Source organism: Homo sapiens, chromosome 3 (genome assembly GCF_000001405.40).
Source record: "Homo sapiens chromosome 3, GRCh38.p14 Primary Assembly".
NCBI lineage: Eukaryota > Metazoa > Chordata > Mammalia > Primates > Hominidae > Homo > Homo sapiens.
Window position 1 is genome coordinate 5254424 of NC_000003.12, and position 11696 is coordinate 5266119.

The 11696-nt window shown below is 43.0% G+C and overlaps 1 annotated feature.

Annotated features, from left to right (window-relative positions):
* Positions 10426-10591: a silencer, noted in NCBI's record as "fragment chr3:5306534-5306699 (GRCh37/hg19 assembly coordinates)". NCBI's record gives its function as "represses an EF-1alpha promoter that drives an FKBP-Casp9 reporter gene in an ReSE screen in K562 erythroleukemia cells {active_cell/tissue: K562}" and the evidence as "EXISTENCE:reporter gene assay evidence [ECO:0000049][PMID:32094911]".

The following is an 11696-nucleotide window of genomic DNA, read 5'->3' on the forward strand; positions in this document are numbered from 1 at the left end:
GGCTATTAGCAATCTGATTCCTGGCCATGGCTAATCATCAGGTTTAATCATAGGTTAATCATTTGCCAAGATGGTGTTGGGGCAAGCTTCACATATTCCCGAGGCTGACTCTGTAAAGCCCAGATACACTTGTTAGAGAAACATGTCGAAGGAAAGCATTTTTTGTATTGAATGCGGGAGCTGCAGAAAGTGGGAAGCATGGTGGCATTTCAGGCTGCCTTAATGCGACCTCTCGATGCATTTACTGTTCTTTCTAAGCTGCTGGCGTTGCTTTAGTGCTGTATTTTATATGCTCTGTCTCTCAACCTCTCTGGCTGTTCTCCATTCGTTTAGCCAGTGCCTTCTGAATATTTTATAATCAAGTATTTACCAGTGCCTCTGCAGGTCATCAGGAACTCCATCAGTGGAGTTGTTTTCTCTGGCTATCAGCTCATCTAGCAGTGCTGAGCTCTCAGGAGCAGGTAAAATCCTTGTTTTCTTTGCTCAAACCCTCCAGCGGCTTCCCACTTATTCAGCTGGAAATGCAATGGCCTTACCATGGCACGTAGAGCCTTGTATGATCTGGCCTCCAGCCCTCTCTGATTTCACCTCAACAACCCCTCTTGCTTACTGCACGCCTGCCATATTGGCTTCCCTCATGCCTGCCATATTGGCCTCCCTGTTATTTCTATTAGTTTTCTGTTGCTGCATCATGATAAATTGCTACAAACACAGCATCTCAAAACAACATCTGTGAATTACTACCTCAAAGTTTTGTAGGTTGGAAGCATGGGCAGGCTCAGCAATGTTCTCTGCTTAGGGTTTGATAAGGCTGAAATCAAGGTGTTAACTGGGCTATGGTCTCATCTGGAGGCTTGGTGGGGAAAAGTCTACTTCCAAATTCATTCAGGTTATTGGTAGAATTCAGTTCCCGACGCTGTAGGACTGTGGAACCCTTGCTGGCTGTCAGCTGGGGCCCTTGCTGGCTGTCAGCTGAGGCCCGCTCTCAGATCCTGAAGGCCACTCACATTCTTTACCATGTGATCCCCTCCATCTTCAAGCCAGAAAAGGTTCATTGGTTTCTTTTCATGCTTGGAATCTATTACACTTGCTCTTCTGCTGCTAGCCAGAAAAAAATTCCCTGTTTTAAAGGACTCAGGTGATTAGGTTACACCCACCTGGGCAATCTTCCTAACTAAAGGTTACTTGATTAGTAATTTTACTCACAGCTGCAAAATTCCTTTAACCTACATAATCATGGGAGTGACATCTGGGAGTGGAGATCATGGGGCCCCTCTGAGAATTCTACCTCCCCTGAGGTGGGAGGATCACTTGAACTCAGGAAGTTAGTGCTGCAGTGAGTGGAGATTGCACCACCACGCCCCAGCCTTGGCAACGGAAGGGAGACCCTGTCTAAAAGACAGAGAGAGAGAGAAAAATAAGAATTCTGCCTCCAGCAATATTCCTCTAACATGCTGCCAGAAGTATTGCCCCAGGATCTTTGCATTTGCTGTTCCCTCTGCCTGAAACTCCTTTCCTCATGACCATATGGCTTGCTCTCTGATTCCTTCAAGTCTTTGCTTTCTAAGCTCACCATTTATCAAGAAGAGCCTTTGTATTCTCTATCCTCCTTATTCTGCGTTTCTTCTTAACAGCACCCAGCACAACTGACATCATGCATTTGCATGTTTATTTGTTTGTTATCTCTCTTTCCTCACTGGAATAGAGGCCCCCTGAAGATGAGGGCTTTGCCTGCTTTATTCATAGCTGTGTTCTCAGCAGCTAAAATAACTCCTGGCACATAGCAGATGCTCTACACATATAAAGAAATGAATGACTAAATGAATCTTTAGCTTTTGCAACCCTTCTCCTTCTCTTTTTTCTCTCTCCCACCAAGACTAGAATTTCCATAAAATGATTATTATAAATGCTTTATTCCTCACTGAATACATGCATGAGCAATGGAAACAACCAGAAATCTCTACTTTCCTACTTGATCTAAAGAAACAGAGTTTAAAAACATAAGTTTCTTTTCTGTTCATTGGTCTTTCTTACCTCATACACATTTGTCTCTCCTTCACCCTGCCCATACCTTAAGCACTCCCAGCTCTATTCCCCTATATATTTATGGGTGAAAATGCCTTGAAGATGTTTGATTGTAGCTTCCCATTTGATGAGTGCCTCTTTTAAACTGGGACATCCTCCCTCTTCTTTCCAAGAATAATCCTTTCTCTTCAAGGTGCCGTTCAGATCCCACAGTTTCTGTAGCATTCTTTGATGGGTACAGTTCATAGGAAGGTAGCTGTAGATTGAATTCTGTACGCCCTCATTCAGATGTTGCAGCTCCAACTCCCAATATGACTGTATTTGGAGATAGGGTCTTTAGGAAGTAATTTAGGTTAAATGAGTTCATAAGGGTGGATTCTGATCTCATAGGCTTAGGATTGTTATGAGAGCAATCCCTTTGGTGCACATTCACTGAAGAAAGCTCACGTGAGCACACAGAGAAGGGGCCATCTGCAACCCAAGTAGAGAGCCCTCACCAGACATTGGCCTTGCTGGCATCTTGATCTTGGACCTCCAGCCTCTAGAACTGTGAGAGGACAAATGTGGTGGTGTTCGCCTATAATATCAGCTACTAGGGAGGTTGAGGCAGGAGAATCGCTTGAACCTAGGAGGCAGAGGTTGCATTGAGCCAAGATTGCACCACTGCACTCCAGCCTGGGTGACAGAGCAAGACTCTCAAAAAAAAAAAAAAGATATTCATGAAGAGCATGCTCAAAGTTTACAAAGCACTGTGGAATTTCAAAGGAGAAAGATATTAGAAGGTCAGGGATGGTGTGGAAGAGGTGGGATTTAGCTGTACCTTTAAAGAGGAGTTGAATTTTGAAAGATTGGGAAAAATATTTTTGTCAGGGAGACATGTATAAGAAGAGCAGAAATGGAAAAAATACCATTTAGAACAATTACTGATTTTTATTTTTGACACAGGGCCTTGCTCTGTCCCCCAGGCTGTAGTGCAGTGACACGATCATGGCTCACTGCAGTCTTGACCTCCCAGGCTCAAGTCATCCTCCCATCTCAGCCTTCCAAGTAACTGGGACCACAGGCACATACCACCATGCCCAGCTAATTTTTTTTTGGTACTTTTTGTAGAGACAGGGTTTCTCTGGATTGCCCAGGCTGGTCTCAAGATCCTGGGCTTAAGCAATCTGCCCACCTTGGACTCCCAAAATGATGGGATTATAGGCATGAGCCACCAAGCCCAGCCAACATTACTTATTTATTTATTTATTTATTTTGAGACGGAGACTCACTCTGTCGCCCAGGCTGGAATGCAGTGGCGTGATCTCGTCTCACTGCAAGCTCTGCCTCCCGGGTTCATGCCATTCTCTTGCCTCAGCCTCCTGAGTAGCTGGGACTACAGGCGCCCGCCACTACGCCCAGCTAATTTTTTTGTATTTTCAGTAGAGACGGGGTTTCACCGTGTTAGCCAGGATGGTCTCAATCTCCTGACCTCGTGATCTGCCCACCTCGGCCTCCCAAAGTGCTGGGATTACAGGCGTGAACCACCGTGCCTGGCCAACGATTACTTATTTTGATGAAACATCCAACTATGCTTCTCCAGGGGTGCCTTTTGCATGTTGTAGGTGCTCAACAGACATTTTGCTGGCTAGAAGCGCTTGCTTTTTTTTTTTTTTTTGTGACAGAGTCTTGCTCTGTTGTTGCCCAAGCTGGAGTGTAGTGGTTCACTACAACCTTGAACTCCTGGGCTCAAGTGATCGCCTGCCTCAGCCTCCCGAGTAGCTGAGACTACAGTTGTGCACCACTGAATCCAGCTAATTTTTAAATATTTCTGTGGAGCTGGCATCTCACTATGTTGCCCCATTTGTTCGTGAACTCCTGGGCTCAAGTGATCCTCCTGCTTCGGCCTCCCAAAGTGCTGGGATTACAGGTGTGAGCCACCATGCCCAGCCAGAAGCACTTGTTACATCCTCATGCCCCTAGTGCCATGTTAGGGACTATACCAAACTGATAAATTTATAATTTTCTGAAAAATTGCAGTTCATAATAGAAAGAGAAAAATTGCAAACAACTGATAAGTTATGACATTGACATGATGCATTGGAGGGAAGTATTTGCTCTCAAAGTGCTCAGGGATGGCTTGCGGGTTGATACCTTAACCTATTAAGTATGTAGTAGCTCTGCCACAAGGCTCTCATTTTCACCTTCTAAAATCTGATCTTGTAGACTGCTAAACATGTGTGGATCCATGCCAACCCCACTATTTCTTCATTGTTTCCAAATTTGATTAATGTTCCTGCCTTCATTCACCCTCCTGGTGGCTGAGGCATAATGCCACAAATTACACCCACCAGTGAGTTCCAGGCAGCAGAGGTAATTTCTTTTCAAACAATGCAGAGCTCAAAAGAAATTTCGAGAATGAGCTACCAGATCATTTTATAAAGGCAATGCCACCTCGGAGTTGAGCAGAAATGTAGAGATTACTGCTCCTTGGGCTTATAGGAGATAACCTGGTGCAATGGGCAAGCCAGTTTCAACAGGAACGAAGGAGTGTACTATGAGAGAAAAATATGTGCAGTAAGTGCTAGCTGCCTGTGTTGAAAGTAATGATTCTGACCTTCAGTGTATTTGTTAAAACATTTTTTCTTTTTTTTTTGAGACAGGGTCTTGCTCTGTCACCCAGGCTGGAGTGCAGTGGCATGATTTCGGTCACTGCAACCTCCGCCTCCTGGGTTCAAGTGATTCTCCCGCCTCAGCCTCCTGAGTAGCTGGGATTACAGGCACATGCCACCATGCCTGGCTAATTTTTGTATTTTTTGTAGAGACAGGGTTTTACCATGTTGGCCAGGCTGGTCTCAAATTCCTGACCTCAAGTGATCTGCCTGTCTTGGCTTCCCAAAGTGCTGTGATTACAGGCATAAGCCACTTCACCCAACCTGTCAAAACAAATTTAACTTCATTTAACTCTTGAGTTTAGTATGACTTTATTATATATTGGCAATCTTTCTTTCTTTCTTTCTTTCTTTCTTTCTTTCTTTCTTTCTTTCTTTCTTTCTTTCTTTCTTTCTTTCTTTTTTTTTTTTGAGATGGAGTCTCGCTCTGTTGCCCCGCTTAGAGTACAGAGGCACGATCTCGGCTCACTGCAACCTACCCCTCCTGGGTTCAAGCAATTCTCCTGCCTCAGCCTCCTGAGTAGCTGGGGTTACAGGCATGTAGCACCACGCCTGGCTAATTTTTGTATTTTTAGTAGAGACGGGATGTCACCATCTTGGCCAGGCTGGTCTTGAACTCCTGACCTCATGATCCACCTGCCTCGGCCTCCCATGCTGGGATTACGGGCGTGAGCCATCGCATCCGGCCGCAAACTTTCAAAATGTAGACATTTTAATAAGATTTTTGTATTATTAGTAGCTATTTATTGGGTACCAACAATGGCTTGTTTCATTGAACTTGCCGATACAAGTTCTGCCTGCAGATGAAATCGCCTTTGCAAAAATTATAGTAGTAAGGGAAATTTAACACACCTAACCCCATCTTGCTTCTACCAGGCTAGATTGCTTTTGCTCATTCTTGTGTGAAGGCCATAATAGTTCTTTCCTTGAACTGATCCCCTCCTTGTTCAGAAGTTAAAACCATATTTGTAAAGACCAACAGAAGGTAACAAGGTTAGAATTATGCTAGGGGCCTGAACTTTGCTGAAGAGTAGGCACGGTTAAACCATAACCATCCATTACTTGTTTAGCTGGCGTTTCTGTAAGTTGCTTATTGCCCAGAGTCACATAATTGGAGGTTACAAGATTTGTAACTTCCCCAACTGCTCCTAAAGATAACTTTATTATTGTGAAACCTAAATAACTGGTCTTTGAGATATTTTTCAGATTTAGCGTTTCAGCAGATCAAGAGATACCACCCCGTCCTGAAACTCTCTCCCAGGAACTGACTCAGATGCATGAAGACAGTTTAGGGACCCCTGTGATTTCATCCTTAGCCAATCAACTGTTTCAGTTCCCCAGGCCCCTGCCCACCAAAGTACTCTTCAAACCCCCTGAGAACCAGGCCCAATCTGTGATATCATTTTGGATAAATGTTTAGGATCATCGAAAGCAGACATTTGTTTTACTCAGTTTCTTCAATGGTGGTGTTACCACATGCTTAGGGGTGAGGCTGGGTAGTCCACTCTCTCCTCTTGTCCTTATCTCTCCTGTAACTAGCAACAAAAAAAGGATCTGATATCGGTATTGTGCATGAGGTATGACTGCGTGAAAAAGGACTCTTGATATGTATTGAACTCAGAGTCTCAAATGGCTAGAAAGATGTAGTTTTGTCATAGAAAGAGAAAGAAAGATAAAACGAAAAGAGAAGTAGAAGAGGAAGGAAAGAATCCAAGCAAAGAAGTAAAGAAATGGCCGGGTATGGTGGATCACACCTATAATCCCAGCACTTTGGGAGACTGAGTCGGGAAGATCCCTTGAGCTCAGGAGTTTGAGACCAACCTGGGCAATACAGTGAAACCCCATCTCTATAAAAGTAAAAAATTAGCTGTGGGGCATGCCTGTAGTTCCATCTACTTGGGAGGCTGAGGTGGGAGGATGCTTAAGGCTGGGAGGTAGAGGGTTCTGTGAGCCATGATTGCACCACTGTACTCCAGCCTGGAAGACAGAGCAAGAGCCTGTCTCAAAAAAAAAAAAAAAAAAAAGAAAAAGAAGTGAAGAAAAGAGGAGAAAGAGAAAGGAAGGAAGGAAGGAAGGAAGGAAAGAAGATTGGAAGGAGCAAAGAACAGGGAAAGTTAAGAAAAGTGGAAAGGAAAGAAAACACGACAAGAAAAGGAAGAGAGAGAAAAGAGGAATTGGAGGCTTTGAGTTTCTTCCTGTTTATAGACTTGAGTTAAAAAAAGAACTGTTGGATTCAAACGGCAGGCATCTCATTGTGCACTCCTACCTTTGTATAAAGAACAAAACACCATTTACTCCCAGGTCTCTTCTGACATTAATCAATAAGGCTGTTTCTCTTACCAAGGCACTATGAGGGGATGGGCACTACAAGGTGGTAAGGAGGGATGGTAGAATAAGCACTAACTAGTAGGAACAACTATTATTTGTGAGCTTTAATGAGGTAGCAGGCACAAAAGGCAGTTAATCTCTGCCTAATGATCTGATGTAGTCCATGAAGCCATGCTATGGGGCTGCATTGCTTTTATTGAACAAGGCTCTCAGTGTTATCTCACCTCTTGCTTAGCCAAAAGCCACTGATTTGATTCTGGAGCTGTGGAAAGACATGGTTACATAGTTATTTCATAGCACTCAATTTCTATACTATAAGGTGAGAATGGGAAAGAACAGCTATTTATTTTTAAAGAGAAATCCAGTTGGGTGAAGCCAATTTTATGCAGCTTGGGTACGAACAATAAATATGTAAGTGTGTTGTAGGCATTTTATATGGTTGTCTGATAACCACCTTAGATCACTTTTCTGGTGGATTTTTTTGTTTTGTTTTGTTTTTTAAAGACAGGGTCTTGTTCTGTCACCCAGGCTAGTGAGATCATGGCTCACCATAACCTCACACTCCCGGGCTCAAGTGATTCTCCCACCTCAGGCTCCCAAGTAGCTAGGAATATAGGCACGTACTGCCATATCAAGCTAATTTTTAAATTTTTTGTAGAGATGGTGTCTCATTATGTTGCCCAGGCTTGTTTTGTACTCCTGGCCTCAGCAATCCTCCTACCTTGGCCTCCCAAAATGTTGGGATTATAGGCATGAGTCACCCAGCATAGCCCATTGTGGCAATTTTTTTTTTTTTTTTTTTTTAGAGGCAGAGTCTTACTTTTTTGCCCATGCTGGAGTGCAGTGGTGTGATAGCTCACTGCAGCCTTGAACGCCTGGGCTCTGCCTTGAACACCTGGATCCTCCTACCTCAACCTCCTGGGTAGCAAGACTACAGATGCCCAACTAATTTTATTATTTTTTGTAGAGATGGGTTCTTACTATGTTGCCCAGGCTGGTCTTGAACTCCTGGCCTCAAGTGATTCTTTCACCTTTGACTTCCAAAGTGCTGGGATTATAAGTCTGAGCCACCATGCCCAGTCTATTGTAATTCTTTAATGCCATCAGTTATGTTGGGCATTAAAAGATACTTTAAAAAATTCTCCATCTATACAATAAAACATATTGGATAGAACTCTAGATGAACTTTCAAACAACTGCAACTTTGGAAGAATGAAGCCAGGATAGCGCACAGACTACCACTTCCCGTTGTGTAATGAAGCAGACATTGCTAATTGATTGCTGCACTTTTCCCATCATGTGCAGATATGACCTCAACATTCTTCTCCATCTAGCATACCAGGAAGACACTATTTGGAGACCCTAGACTGGAGTTATTACATAAGACAAAATCTTTTGCCATCCCTAACGTAAATCATAAGAAAACGTTGTCTTTCTCTTCTTTTCTTGCTGTTTTGTTTTCTTCTTCTTTTTTTTTTATTGTTTTTAACCTTATGGAAATTTTTAAGGATAAACAGCCTGGGCTTTGTATTTCCAGCTGAATCACTAAATGGCTCATTGCTTGTTATGTCACTTTGAAAAGTGGGCCACTTTAGAAGTTCCACTGGGGAATTCTGACAGGATTGCTGAGGCAAGACTTCATTTTATTTTTTGATCCTTTTACCCTATGCCAGACATCGATGGGAGCCAACACCTGGAACAAATGGAAAATTGTGTATTTCAGCAGGGAAGGAAAATGGGTTGCACCATGTGAGAATCTGATCTTTTGGGATGGAAAGTTTTCTCTGATGGCAAGTGAATGCCAAGTGACCCTGAAGGTTCATGTCTGTTTGTTTGACTTTTCTTGTCCTTGCCTCTTGAAGTTGCCAGCAAAGGCCAGCAAATGACCACACAGAACAAAATGGTGTGATAGAAGGGAAGGTTTAGGCTGTGGCTTTCAAACTTGAGGAGTGAATTGGTTTCATTAAAATGCATTATTCACAGAATGAAAAATGCAACCCTCATCTTTGGTTGACACATGATTATTAGATTCTTCAGGATTCCTTGAATTTGGTTTGCAACTGACATCACACAAATGGCATCAGAACTTTTTGAACCAAGGATTCAATTTCAAAATTCAATATTGTAGGAAAAGGAAAACAAATAGGCCTTGTCTGTTAGTATACAATGGCCCTAAAAATACACAACTGCAATTTCATGGCTGACCTGTGCTGTAATTGACTTGTGGTGGTTCACTTACTGAAATTTTAATTCTACATTTGGCCAAAAATGACCTGTATGTGAAAACCATTACATACCCTCTCTCAGTAAGGAAAAGGAAGACAAGGTAATGGGCATAAGTTTAGTTTCTGTGGTGTGGCTGAAGAGAGCAAGGGAGTACCTGATCCTGGCTTTGCAGACCTGAGCAAGTTGTCAAACTTCTTTGATCCTTAGTTTTTTCACCTGTAACTGGAGTAATAATATGCATGTCTTAGGTTTGTTAGGAGAAGGGGAGATCAGTTAGTGCATATGGGGTGCCTAGCACAGGGCCGGATACATTGAAAGGGCTCAGTAAGTTTTGTTATTTTGTATGTTATATCATGGCTTTGAATGGCAGTGGTCTTTCTAGTTTAGATAGTATTGAGAAAACGTAATCTTGGAATTGTGGAATGGGAAAGCTTCCTCAATAGCTTTCCTGTGTTTAGATTGTTGATTTTAAGCTTCCGCCTACAGCAGCTTTTTCACACCTCTTATGACAGGTTGCAAAAATGGCCCACTTCTTCCTCATTTCCCCTATCCGCACCCTTAGCCCATGTGATTTTGAAGTTCCTCCCATTAGGAAGGAGATCTATTTCCTTGCTTCTTGTTTCTGAATTGATCATGTGACTTTCTTTGGTTGATGGATGTTAGCAGACATAATGTAAAGAAAGGCTTGAAAAGTTAGAGTTTTCACTGCTTCTGAGTCATGCACAATAGTATCCCAAGCATTCTCCAGATTCCTGGTAGGATTTCTTTGAAGCACAGTTCCAGTTGGTGTGAGTCTCATGGAACCCAGCACAGCAGTAAGTCACTTATTTGAAATAGTCTTATGCCATGTCTGAAGCCTGCTCTGCGATTCAAAACCGAAGGCCTCAACCAGAAGTATTGCTAGGTAAAGATGTGGGGATAGTAGTCCACCTATTGTAAAACAAACCCAAAGCACAAGACAGATGTAGTTTTGCTGACCTTAAAATAATGTGCAAATGGTATGATTTCATCTTTTTGTTTGTTTGTTTTTTTCTTTTTTTGAGACGGAGTCTCACTCTGTCGCCCAAGCTGGAGTGCAGTGGCATGATCTCACTGTAACCTCCACCTTCTGGGTTCAAATGATTCTCATGTCTCAGCCTCCTGAGTAGCTGGGATTACAGGTGCTCGTCACCACGCCCAGCTAATTTTTATATTTTTTGGTAGAGACGGGGTTTCACCATGTTGGCCAGGCTGGTCTCGAGCTCCTGACCTCAAGAGATCTGCCTGCCTCAGCCTCCCAAAGTGTTGGGATTACAGGCATGAGCCACTGCGTCTGGCCGATTTCATCTTATCAAGAGAAAAATATTATGTACCTGCCATCACCATGAAAATGCCCAGGATAGTCAGCTGGAGGATGAGAGACACATGGAGGGGAGCTGGTCTTTCCAGCCACAAGAATTTTAGAATATCTGACCTCCAGTTGACTTCCAGATATGTAAGTCCAACCAAAGAACAGCAAAGCCACTTGGCTGACCACCCCAGACACGTGAACAATAAAAAATAAATGTTGCATGCCACTGAGGTTTTATGGTTGTTTGTTATGCAGGCTTATTAAAATGATCAGTAGTGGTTAAACTTCTATTATAGCTCTAATTCTCTTGTATAGCAATTATGGTGGCTTATCTATGAGATTCTCCACACATATTGGGAAATTCTTGAGCGTGGAGATGGTATCTTATTTACCTTGTACCTCAGGGCCCAGCATAGTACTAGGTAGGTAATAAATATTTGCCACTGAAGTTCTGGCATTAATTTAATAGGACATTCCTCTATTCACTTGTTGGTTTTTTTCTTACGTTCATATTTTCCTTCTGGAATGCCTTCTATGCACTGTGCACTCTGCTGGGTGCTAGGAGTACCAATGTGAGCAAGACTGACATTGGAAAGTCCCATAATTCCTGTAAGGAATGCAAATTGTGTCCACACACATGCTTTTACACGTGAATGAAGGAATGCATGAATGAAATAATCACTTACTAAATCCTTGCTGTGTGTCAGGCCTGGTGCCCTAAAGAAAAGGCGCTTGAGGTGAGAGGAATGATTGGGGCAGTAATGGCAGGAAAAGTGTGTTAGAGGTGCTCGTGCTTTGGGTGAAAGTTGAATGGAAGGATTGCATTGAGGTGTAGTGGGAGAAAGTTTTGAAATAGAGTTCTGTGCAGCTTTAGCTGATAGGCCCTTAGCCTACGGGCTAAGGGCTTTGGATTAGGGTTGAAAACTGGAATATGTACATGGACCAGGCGTGAAGAAAGATGGACTGGTAGGGACTGTACCTGTCTAGACAGCACATGCCCATCTTCTAAGGGGCTTGTCCATGTTTAGCTCAGTGCTCCTTAGACTTCAATGTGTGTAAGTGAGTGACTTGGGCATCTTGGCTCTGGGATTTTAGTCTCTGGCAGAGCCCGAGATTCTGGTTTATTTTTTAATTGT